The following is an 11,808-nucleotide window of genomic DNA, read 5'->3' on the forward strand; positions in this document are numbered from 1 at the left end:
TGAAATCATCAAGACCACTTATATTCACCACAGCAGTGCATATGACAAAATAGATCTTTTCATAACGGGACTGCGTCAGCACAGACATCTATGTAAAATCTGACATCTGGACTGTGGTTTTAACTGTGGCAAGAGGGCCAGCCTGCAGGTTCACATGACACCGTGCCACCTTGAACAGCAAATCCCAAAGGTTCTTCTAGGACTCAGCATTAGAACAGCACCTCTGGGCACTTCATGTGTCAACCTGGAAGCACTGTGGTTCAGAAAGCGGCGGTCCTCGCTAAGGTGACTTTTCCGCAAAATCTTTTGATATCTTTTGCTTTATCACACAGAAGAATGAAACGCCCGATACAAACTTGTCAGAAAAGGGCATTAATGTAAATGCATTGGACAAAATTCTTCACGATGCTAAATCCTTATTTTAGAAAAACACGTTTTCCCTCTGAGCCCAAAGAATATACAACACAAGGATGGGCGTGGTGGCTCATGCCTACAATCTCGGCACTTTGGGAGGCCAACGCGGGTGGATCACCTGAAGTCAGGACACAAGCCTGGCCAACATGGCGAAACCCCGTCTCTACTAAAAATACAAAAATTAGCTGGGCGTGGTGGTGCGCACCTGTAATCCCAGCTACTTGGGAGGCTGAGGCAAGAGAATCGCTTGAACCTGGGAGGCGGAGGTTGCAGTGAGCCGAGATCGAGCCACTGCACTCCAGCCTGGGCGAGAGTGAGACTCCGTCTCAAATAAAAAATAAAAAAATACACAATGCAATCCAAAACTAATAGGAGTCCTCTCTAAAGGGCACAACTTAAAAACTACAGTGGCAGTTTAACACAGTAAGGTCTGTGTTCTTCAGGCGAAAGCCTGGAAAGTTCTCTGATGTTTTCACGCAGTGCTATTTCCTAGAAAGCAAAACATCCAGCCCAACAAACTAGTACACACATCATTGACAAAATATGCTACTCCTCATTAACATTTCATTGCAGAACCGAAACAATAAATTAAGCCATACTAAATCAGCAGCATTTCGGCCCTGTGTACCACCGTTAGGTTTCTGGAACAAGCACTCCTACGTTTTTTAGCCTTTGGGGCTAAAGGAAAAAACAACATGTGTTCCTCGAGTTTACAAACCTCCAGACTGATACTTTATTGGGACTAGAATTACAAACACCCCAAGTTTTAAGGTCGGTTTCCCCTATAAAATTTATGATTAAGAACATAATTCCCATTTATAGAGTTTTCCATCCCTTGGGACGCACATCGCTCATATAAATCTCACGAAGCCCGAGTTTGGGCAGTAATCCAAACCGTCTTCACAAAAACACGGTTTGGGATGAGCAATGATTTCGGTGGGAAACGTAACAACTGAGCAGGAGTCAGCCTTCGAACACGATTCCAAGAAGTCTCCCTGCCCAAAAAGAGCAGGCGCTGGCCGCAAGTGACAAGAGACGAGAATTTTGAAGCCATCTTAGAGTTATGGGAAAGTTTGAATACCACTTTGACTTGGAAGGCGTTTTCAACAAAAACAACAAAGTCCTTTCCTCAAAAAACACCTCGCATTTAACACAGCCTCACCCCTACCAGGAAAAAAAAAAGAAAAAGAAAAAATCCAACTCACGAGGCATCCAGTTATTTTCCTACCTCCTATCTATTCCTCTCCTGGCTCCCAAAAAGGTGGGGAGGGGAATTGTGTGGCTATCACTTCCTTTTAAATTACTATCTTCTCAAGAGTTTTAAGGGTGGAAAAAAGTTTAAAACACCTTGTATCAGGAAGGCGCTCAGATTTAAAATTCCAAATGGTACTAAGGACACAAATCAGCCTCACATCCTAATGAAAAAAGTACTAGATTCTTACATTTTTGGAGGGCATGGGAAGGGGGAGGGGGTTCTGGGGGAAATGTGCAGTGATTAGGGAACCAGGGGGATCCATTTGCATTAATAAGGGACGGTGCCCGGCGACCCCGCAGCCACATGTTTACGCCTTTAAAACAATGGCATGAATATTTAAAGCAACGTTTAGCCCTTTCCTTCCCGGGCACATTTCCATGGTTTGGTTTTTTTTTTTCTTCCAACGAGCGTGGGGAGCCGGGGAGCCGGTCAGCGGGGTGGGCCCGGCGCGCTGCCCCGCCAACCCCGGACCTACCTCCCCGCCGGCCCCGCACAATGGGGCGCGCTCTCCAGGACGCCCGCGTCGGAGGCGGCCGGGGAGGGGAGCAAGGAACCCGGGGACACCTTCGGGCTCAGGCTCAGGCTCAGGCCCTCGCCGCCGCCTCGGAAGGCCCAGCAGGCCCGGGCTGCGGGCCGGCGGCGGGGCGGAGGCGGCAGCTCGGGGCCCCGGCCGGGCCATCCCTGTTCGGGCCGGCGGGAGGCGGCGGGAGCCGGCGGGCACCGCGCGTGCGGCCCAGGAGCCGGGGAGGACGCCGGGACGCACCCGCCCCGGGTCGACAGGGCCCGCGCGGAGAAAAGGGGAGGCGGGGAGGCCCCGGAGGCACCCCGCGACCCCAGGCCGGCCGCTCCCGCCGCGCGCACGGGCCGCCGCCGCCGCCGCGCAAAAATGTCGGCGGGCGAAAAAATTAACCCCTGCGTGGCCGCCGCCGCCCTCCCCTCCGCTCCTCCCCGCCCTCCCTCCCTCCTTCCCCGGCCCCGCGCGGCGGCGGCGGCGGCGCGGGCGGCGCTTCTTTTTTAAAGCGGCCCCACCAAGCCCGGCGCTGCCCCTCTCCAGGCAGGGCTGGCGGGGCCGGCGGCGCGCGGCTCCCCGGCGGTCCCGGGCGGCCCGGAGGGGGATTTGCAACGGCCGCCGCGGGCCTGCGGACCCAGATTCCCCTTTAAGCCTGCGCCTCCCCCCCGCGCCGGGCCCGCCGCTTACCGGCTCGCTTTGCGCCCTCCGCCTCCTCCCGAAAACGGGCCGCGGGCCGCTCCCACAATGCACCGGGCGCGGCCGGGCTCCCTTAAGCGTCGCCTGAATAAAAATGCCGCGCCCGGCGGCGGCGGCGGCGGCGGGGGCCCGGGCCCGCGCCTGGGCGCCGCGGGGGCTCGCCTGCCTCGGCGCGGCCCTGCGGGAGCCGGGCCGCCGCGCTCCCGCCGGCTGGGCGCGCGGGGGTCCTTTAAGGCCGGCCACCTCCCTTTAAGAGGCGGCCCTGGCTGCTGGGTGGCGGCGTGCGGCCCGGGAAGGGGGCGGGGGCGCCGTGCAGCCCCGAGCGCGGCAATGATTGGTCTCGGGGGAGGGGTGGGGGGTTGCAAACCCGAGGAGCGGTGGCATCCGTTGCATGATGCAAAAAAGGATTGATTTCAAAAGTTGCGAGTTGCATTGGCAGCCGCCCTTGGCGCCCGGGCCACCTTTTTCCCGGGCCCCGCTGCAAGGGCCGGGAACGTTTCCGCCACCTGGCCGGGCTCGACCGCGCGGCGCTCTGCGGGGCGCTGTCCCCGCTCCCCGAGTGCGCAGCGGAGCGTCCTGGAAGACAATGACCATGGGAACAATTTGCACAGGAGGCTAGGAGCCCAGGAAAAGCCGCCTGGGCGCCAGGCAGAGGTTTTTTGAAAACACAAACGGCGCGTTAGATGCTTGGGGACTCCCAGCATCTGTCCTTCCTATTGTTTAGCTCGGCTCCGGAGTTCACGGGAGCCTCGTGAAATGTGGAGACGTCCTGCAAAGTTTCTTGAACACTTCATGTGCGTGGTAGGAAGTCGAGGAAAAAGGTTTACGGTTCCCCGCTGGTTGCATTGTTTGTCCTGCACATGTTCGAGCGAACATGGCAGCCGCAACCCTGGATGTGTTCGAATTGACATCGAGGGGGGAGCTTCACGTCGTGAAATAACTTTTTTCTGGGCTTTCGAGATTCTAAAGCATTGCTGATGAAAATAAACCAAATACTTTCAGATATCGTTTAGGGCTTCTCTCTAAAACAGCAGTGTGCAGGAATGCCGATCGAACTTTTCTAGGCAGTAGGTCAGCATTTTCCAAATGTTATTTGGGAGCAGAAATGTTTTGGGTCACTGGACCGTGCTTTACGTGGCACGGCAGGTTGGCACGCTACGCAGATGCCCTTTTCGTTAACATTTCCGCTTGCCAGTTGCTCCGGGTTTTAATCCTGGGCTGGATGCAGAAGTGATGCCACCTCGAAGACAGGCTGCTCCTGTCTTTGTGTACTTTCTTCATACCCTGTAGTAAGTTTGCAAAGAACGTGTTAGTCTGCATTCTTTTATTTTATATTTATTTATTTATTTATTTTGAGACGGAGTCCCACTCTGTCGCCAGGCTGGAGTGCAGTGGCGCGATCTCGGCTCACTGCAACCTCCGCCTCCTGGGTTCAGGTGATTCTCCTGCCTCAGCCTCCCCAGTAGCTGGGATTACAGGCGCCTGCCACTGGAGGATGGCTTCTCCCAGAGGGGAAGACAGGGTCACGGTTCTCATTAAGAGGGTATTGTACTAGTCAAGCCCGGAGATGTACTTGAACTGAAAGCAAGGGGAATGCAGCCCAGGGAAGGGATTTGGTGTGATTTAGCACGTAGGAAGGAGAGGAAGAAGGATAAGATGACCCCCAGGTTTCCAGTTTGCGGGGGTGGGGGGTGGGGGAGGGAATGAGGAGCGATGCTAATAATTTATCTAAGAACTGCTGAAAGGCAAACAAGTTTCGGGGTGAGTTCAGCTTTGGAAATGTTAAATCTGAGGTCTGCCGGATGGTGTGGGGGTGGGGCTCAGAGTTGCAAATCTCAGGTCTGCCGGATATTCCAGACCAAAGTTAATAGGGAAACAGGTCCGGAATTTGGTGTGGGGATGGGGCTCAGAGATGCAAATCTGGGTGCCATCAGCATGTAAATGGTGTTCGAAGCCTCCGTAAGAGGTGAGATTAACCCCGAAGGGAGAGCTCAGGAAAAAAGTGAAAGAGACCTTGGACAGAGCTCTGCAGAACTTGGAAATCAAGTGGCTGGGCGGGACAGAGGCCGATCCCCGCTGCGTCGGTGGGAGGCCACCATCCTCAGAACCGACTCTTCCTCCCCGCCTCCACCCACCACGAGCTCACCGGGAAGCAGTTCTCTGCCGCAGAGGCCGTAAGCCACAGATGCCTTACTTCATCCAGGGCCACACTACAGCCTTGGCCCAGATCATCTGGCAGAGTCATGCATCCTTTTCTTTGCCGGTGATGAGAGCTTCTTCCTTGGGTACTGCTTTGAGCTAGTCCTACGCTCCCCCGCAACTCCCGGGCTCACCAGAACCCCATTCTAGGGAGCCATCCCCGCTGGATTCTCAGGCTCTGCTGGTTCCGTCCAAGAGATGGTTCTCCTGGGTTGCATTGTCTGGTTGGGGCTTATTAAAAATACCAGTTTACCGCTGAGCAGGGTAGCTCAGGGTGCCTGTAACCCCAGGGCTTTGGGAGGCCAAGACAGGAGGATCACTTGAGGCCAGGAGGTTGAGACCAGCCTGGGCAACATAATGAAACCGCGTCTCTACAGAAAATTTAAGAAGTAGTCAGGTGTGATGGCGCATGCCTATAGTCCTAACTACCTCAGAGGCTGAGGTAAATCATTTGAGCCCAGTAGTTCAAGGCTACATTGAGCTGTAATCGTGCCACTACACTCTAGCCTGAGTAACATAGCAAGACCCTGTCTCAAACAAAACAGAACAAAACAAAAAGAACTAATTTACCAGCTTCACTCACTTGAAAGATTACAGCTAGCAGATACAATGGGTTGAATTATGTCCACCACAAAAGGTGTGTTGAAATCCTCACTGCCCCCCATACCTGTGAATGTGGCCTTACTTGGAAATAAAATATTTGCAGATTTAATCAAGGTAAGATGAAGTCATACTCAATTGTGATATGCCCTAAATCCTATGGCTCATATTCTTAGAAAAAAAGGAATATTTGGGCTGGGCGTGGTGGCTCATGCCTGTAATCTCAGCACTTTGGGAGGCCAAGGTGGGCAGATCACTTGAGGCCAGGAGTTTGAGACCAGCCTGGCCAACATGGCGAACCCCATCTCTACTAAACGTACAAAAATTAGCTGGGCGTGGTGGCATATGCCTGTAATCCCAGCTTCTCGGGAAGCTGAGGCAGAAGAATCGCTTGAACCCAGGAGGCAGAGGTTGCAGTGAGCTGGGATCATGCCACTGCACTCCAGCCTGGGTGACAGAGCAAGATGTCTCAAAAAAAAGAAAAAAGAAAAAGAAAGAAAGAAAAGAAAAGGAAGATTTGGAGACAGCGGCACAGAGGAGACACAGGGAAGATGGCCATGCATGTGAAGACCGAGACAGAGGTTGGAGCAATGCAGCTACAAGCTACAGCGGAGGTTGCCGTCAGCATCAGAAGCTGGGAGAGGCAAGGAGGAATTCTTCCCTAGAGCTTTCAGAGGGAGCGTAGCCCTGCCGACACCTTGGCTTCCCGCTAGCAGCCTCCGGGATTTAAACTACCCAGCTTGCGGTCCTTTGTTATGGCAGCCATGGGAAAAGACTCCAGCAGGTCGGAGGTGTATGTGGTGGGGAAGGGATGTGAAGAATCCCCATTTTGCCAGGCTCCCTGGGTGATTCTGATGCTTTTGAAGAACACTGACCTAAGAATTCCACTTCCTCTGAAACCCAGAGGGACGAGAGGCTGCCTGTTCTATACCCCACATCCTGCTCACCCCAAAACAGAAAAGCAGCTCCAGTGACATCACCTTCCTGTCACCTGCCCTTCTCATTCGGGGCTCATGCCATCCAACACTGCCACCATCTGCTGCCAGAAGTGTCACTCCCCTGCATGGTTTGAATCATGCCCATTCAAAAGTGGCCCCTGCTCTGTCATCCCAGGGGATGGAGAGGGTCCATTCTCAGGAATAGCACCTGCTAGATGATGGATGTGCAAATCTGATGACCTTGACCTTAACTCCACTTTAGACACCCATTGTCTTGGCCGTGCTGTGAACCTTCTCGGCCCTGGAAATCTTTCATTTTTTATTCGTTTAGAGATGAGCTCTCGTTATGTTGCCCAAGGTGGTCTCAAACTTCTGGGCTCAAGCAATCCTCCCACCTCAGCCTCCTGAGTAGCTGGGACTACTACCATGCTTAGCTAACCCTGGAAATCTTAAACACCAACACCCTCTCCCCCGTCCCTGAGTCCTCTCCCTTCTTTACATAGGACACCCACACTCTAACTTCATGGGGGCCACCAGTCTCCTGAAGTGGATCCGTTTCATTCTGTTCAGCTTGGACCGTCTGAGGGTAGTTCTGCAGCCTCATCTCACCTCAACCCATTTCATTGACCATGTTCACCCCCACATGTCCAAACTTAAGCCCCTCTACCTGCCTTCTTTGTCCTTCCACTGGGCTGGAGGAAACTCAGAACTTAGAGATCCTGCCATGATGGGCATGTCAGCCCCCAGTGCCAGCCGGGCTTTTCTGACACCTCAGAAATCATTGAGTATGTTATTCCTGATGTTCATTATTCTCCCCAAGGGCTGGTTCACACTTTGCTGCCTTCAAGAGCAGATGCACCTTACAGAAAAGAATTCATGTCCTCAGGGGAAACCCTGTAATTCCCCCACCCTTCCCTGGCCCCACTAGACTCCTCTGACCTCCAGGGTCAGTGTCTCAGAGACAGGACTGCCCTCTGCCGGTCCCAGGCTGGTCCCTGCCTGTACCCTGACTTCCACCCCTCCAACAATAGCTAACCTTTGTTGAGGATTCACTACATACCCCACTGCACAGTGTTTTAAAGCACTGCTTTTAGAATTCTCCCCACAGTCCCCTGCGGTAGGTTTTCCTTTCATGGGGATGGGAACCAGGGTTCCGACTAATTAAGTAATTTATCCAAGGTCACTGTCTTAGTTTGGGCTCCCCCAAAGTAGACCTGGAGACAAGGATTAGGGAGAAGGGAGTTAGTTAATTTGGGAGGTGATCCTAGGAAACATAAGTCATGAAGCAGACAGGAGGAAACAGAAAGGAGAAAGCCGGAAGGAATGTTAGAGTGGCCTACCAACCGTGGGCACCTGGGACTCTGCCCTGTTGAGGCTGCTCTGAGAAATGGTACGGACCCCCTAGGGCAGGCAGATGAATGACGAACTCCAGTAGGTCTATGTCCCAAGCCCCAGAGCCTGTGACTATGTCATGTTACAAGGCAAAGAGGAATTTCAGTTGCAGGAATTGAATGTACTGATCAGAGCCAAGTGTTGTAGTTCATGCCTCTAGTCTCAGCTACTCGGGAGGCTGAGGCTGGCAGATTATTGGAGCCTAGGAGTTCAAGGACACAGTGAGGTATGATTGTACCACTGCACTCCAGCCTGGGTGACAGAGACCCTGTCTCTTAAAATAATTAAAGAAAAATTTGCTCATCATTTGAGCTTAAAATAGGGTGGTTATCTTGGATAATCTAGGTGGATCCAAGGTAATCACAAGCCTCCTGAAAAGTGGAAGAGGGAATAGAGAGCTGGAGAGATGGGAGCGTGAGAAAGAATTAGACTGACATTGCTAGCTTTGAAGATGGAGGAAGCGGCCACAAACTGAGGAAAACAGGTGCCCCCTAGAATATGGAAAAGACAAGCAGGTTCTCCTTTAAAGCCTCTGGAAGAGAATACATCTAGCTGATAGCTTGATCTTAGCTTAATGATATCTGTGTCAGACTTCTGGTCCACAGAACTGTCAGATCATAATTCAAGCTGTTATAGGAGAGGGGCCCTGATCCAGACCCCAAGAGAGGAATCTTGGATCTCGCACAAGAAATAATTCAGGGCAAGCTGGGTGCGGTGGCTCACGCCTGTAATCCCGTCGCTTTGGGAGGCCGAGGCGGGTGGATCACCTGAGGTCGGGAGTTCGAGACCCGCTTGACCAACATGGTGAATTCCTGTCTCTACTAAAAATACAAAAATTAGCCAGGCATAGTGGCAGGCGCCTGTAATCCCAGCTACTCGGGAGGCTGAGGGAGGAGAATCGTTTGAATCCAGGAGGTGGAGGTTGCAGTGAGCCGAGATTGTGCTATTGCACTCAAGCCTGGGTGACAGAGTGAGACTCTGTCTCAAAAAAAAAGAAAGAAAGAATTCAGGGCAAGTCCACAGTGCAAAGCAAAATAGCAAAAGCAAGTTTATTTAATTTTATGTATGTATTTTTAAAAAACAAGTTTATTAAGAAAGTAAAGGAATAAAATAATGGCTACTCCATACACAGAACAGCCTTGGGGGCTGCTGGTTGCCCATTTTTATGGTTCTTTCTTGATGATATACTAAACAAGTGGTGGATTATTCATGCCTCCCCTTTTTAGACCATATAGGGTAACTTCCTGCATTGCCGTGGCATTTGTAAACTGTCATGGTGCTGGTGGGAGTGTAGCAATGAGGGCAACCAGAGGTCACTCTCATCACCATCTTGGTTTTGGTAGATTTGGGCCGGCTTCTCTACTGCAACCTGTTTTATCAGCAAGGTCTTTATGACCTGATTTTGTGCTGACCTCCTATCTCATCCTGTGACTTAGAATGACTTAACCATCTGGGAATGCAGCCCAGTAGGTCTCAGCCTCATTTTACCCAGCTCCCATTCAAGATGGAGTTGATCTGGTTCAAATGCCTCTGACAAAGCCACAAAGTTTGTGATAATTTGTCTCAACAGCAATAGCAACAAATCTGTCCCCTTAAACTCATGCTACTGGCAGGAAAAGAAGCCACGGCTCTATCCACTGACTCCTGTCCTTTGGTGGTTAAGGGTTGCCCCTGGATGTTAATTCCCCGGAACTCCCCGCACGTCCTCTCACTGGACTGGACAAGACTGAGAACTTCAGGGCCAGCAGAGCTGCCCTGGAGTGCTGGGCAGGCAGGTGATTGAGGTGGGATGCTCTCAGCGGGCTGGCCCCTGCAGCTTTGGGTAAGATCAGTGAGTCAGATGTCAATGGCGTGGGCAGTGCTACCACAGTGCCCAGCTGTAAGTAGTGAAACCAGGATTTGAGCTTGGGCTACGTCTGGAGCCCATGCACCCAGCCTCCAGCATTTGCTAGTCCCACTCTTTTGTTTGAAATTTTCAGGCAGGGCACAGTGGCTTATGCCTGTAATCCCAGCAGTTTGGGAGCCTGAGGCGGCTGGATCACCTGAGGTCAGGAGTTCCAGACCAGCCTGGTCAACATGGTGAAACTCCATCTCTACTAAAAATACAAAAAAATAAGCCAGGTGTGGTGGCAGGTGCCTGTAATCCCAGCTACTTGGGAGGCTGAGACAAGAGAATCACTTGAACCCAGGAGGTGGAGGTAGCAGTGAGCCGAGATCGTGCCACTGTACTCTAGCCTGGGCGACAGAGTAAGACTCCATCTAAAAAAAAATTGGCCAGGCATGGTGGTGGGTGCCTATAATCCCAGCTACTGGGGAGCCTGAGGCAAGATAATCACTTGAACCTGGGAGGCGGAGGCTGCAGTGAGCCAAGTTCACACCAATGCACTGCAACCCGGGCAATAGAAGAAGACTCCATCTCAAACACACACACACACACAATTAAAATTCATGTCACCTGTTTCTTTTAACCTTTTTTTTTTTTTTTTTTTTTTTGAGATGGAGTCTCGCTCTGTCACCCAGGCTGGAGTGCAGTGGGCGATCTCGGCTCACTATAACCTCCACCTACTGGGTTCAAGCAATTCTCTACCTCAGCCTCCCGAGTAGCTGGGATTAACAGGTGCCCGCCCCCATGCCTGGATAATTTTTTTTTTTTAATTTTTGGTAGAGATGGGGTTTCACCATCTTGGCCAGGCTGGTCTTGAACTCCTGACCTTGTGATCCACCCACCTCAGCCTCCCAAAGTGCTGGGATTACAGGCGTGAGCCACCGTACCCAGCCACACCTGGCTAATTTTTGTATTTTCAGTAGAGACGAGGTTTCACTGTGTTGGCGAGGCTGGTCTTGAACTCCTGACCTCGTGATCCACCCACCTCAGCCTCCCAAAGTGCTGGGACTATAGGCGTGAGCCACCATGCCTGGCCACACCTATTTTTTGTATTTTTAGTAGAGACGAGGTTTCACTGTGTTGGCCAGGCTGGTCTAGAACTCCTGACCTCGTGATCCACCCGCCTCAGCCTCCCAAAGTGCTGGGACTATAGGCGTGAGCCACTGTGCCCCACCACACCTGGCTAATTTTTGTATTTTTAGTAGAGATGAGGTTTCACTGTGTTGGCCAGGCTGCTCTAGAACTCCTGACTTCGTGATCCACCTGCCTCGGCCTCCCAGAGTCCTGGGATACAGGTGTGAGCCACCATGCCCGGCCTCTTTTTACTTTTTAAAATGGGGCCACTTGAACACTTAAGATGACACATGTGGTCACATCCACTTTCTAGTGGACAACACTGCCTTAAAGGATTCCTGGTTCCCAGACCCCAGACACAGGCATTTGGGCACCTACTTGAGTGTTACACAAACACTTCACATTCAACATGTTCCAGACCAAAATAATCATTTTCCTTCCCACTCTCCCTGTCCCATCACCCCCGACTATGTACTCTCTTGGCTGGTGGACAATCTCCTGTGTTGCACGTGGTGGAACCCTGGCCCATATGCTGAACTCCTCCCTCTCTTTCCAGTCCCTATTCTGAGTCAATTCTACCACCTTGATATTCTCCATCTCTCATCCCCACTGTTGTGGACTTAGCCTTATTTACGGTCTTTTGCTGTTTTGCTCATTTCCATCAGCCCAAAATGATCCATGCGGCTGGAATGACATTTATCAGAGGCAAACCTGATCATGTCCTTTCCTTGCTTAAAACTGCGCAGTAGCTCCCGTTGCCTGTGGCTCCATTTCTCAAAAAGTCTGGTCTTCATTCGTGGGTGTGCATGGATGAGTTAAGTAGGGCATGGAAGAATATTTTATT

The 11,808-nt window shown here is 52.0% G+C and overlaps 1 protein-coding gene across 8 annotated transcripts in view, besides 5 other annotated features; it reads right to left on the minus strand.

Moving 5' to 3' along the window:
• SEPHS1 (selenophosphate synthetase 1) overlaps positions 1 to 3,161 on the minus strand; it is a 30,866-nt gene extending 27,705 nt beyond the window's left edge. For 6 of the 8 annotated variants that reach the window (NR_164738.1, XM_047424841.1, NM_001195602.2 and 3 more), the window contains exon 1: positions 2,868 to 3,161. The gene's annotated coding sequence lies outside the window, so the exon portion shown is untranslated. Of the gene's footprint in view, positions 1 to 2,144; positions 2,568 to 2,867 lie in introns of those variants that run through there. The other 2 variants (XM_047424840.1, XM_047424839.1) reach the window with 1 other exon arrangement.
• Positions 2,097 to 2,926: a silencer, noted in NCBI's record as "silent region_2153". NCBI's record gives its function as "represses an Ori minimal core promoter by ATAC-STARR-seq in GM12878 lymphoblastoid cells {active_cell/tissue: GM12878}" and the evidence as "EXISTENCE:reporter gene assay evidence [ECO:0000049][PMID:35858748]".
• Positions 3,057 to 3,276: a silencer, noted in NCBI's record as "silent region_2154". NCBI's record gives its function as "represses an Ori minimal core promoter by ATAC-STARR-seq in GM12878 lymphoblastoid cells {active_cell/tissue: GM12878}" and the evidence as "EXISTENCE:reporter gene assay evidence [ECO:0000049][PMID:35858748]".
• Positions 3,346 to 4,136: an enhancer, noted in NCBI's record as "NANOG-H3K27ac-H3K4me1 hESC enhancer chr10:13390478-13391268 (GRCh37/hg19 assembly coordinates)". NCBI's record gives its function as "activates a minimal SCP1, AML or CMV promoter by ChIP-STARR-seq in naive H9 embryonic stem cells {active_cell/tissue: H9 hESC(naive)}" and the evidence as "EXISTENCE:reporter gene assay evidence [ECO:0000049][PMID:30033119]".
• Positions 4,137 to 4,928: an enhancer, noted in NCBI's record as "OCT4-NANOG-H3K27ac-H3K4me1 hESC enhancer chr10:13391269-13392060 (GRCh37/hg19 assembly coordinates)". NCBI's record gives its function as "activates a minimal SCP1, AML or CMV promoter by ChIP-STARR-seq in naive and primed H9 embryonic stem cells {active_cell/tissue: H9 hESC(naive and primed)}" and the evidence as "EXISTENCE:reporter gene assay evidence [ECO:0000049][PMID:30033119]".
• Positions 10,280 to 10,433: a silencer, noted in NCBI's record as "fragment chr10:13397412-13397565 (GRCh37/hg19 assembly coordinates)". NCBI's record gives its function as "represses an EF-1alpha promoter that drives an FKBP-Casp9 reporter gene in an ReSE screen in K562 erythroleukemia cells {active_cell/tissue: K562}" and the evidence as "EXISTENCE:reporter gene assay evidence [ECO:0000049][PMID:32094911]".

This window comes from Homo sapiens, chromosome 10, assembly GCF_000001405.40.
Source record: "Homo sapiens chromosome 10, GRCh38.p14 Primary Assembly".
NCBI lineage: Eukaryota > Metazoa > Chordata > Mammalia > Primates > Hominidae > Homo > Homo sapiens.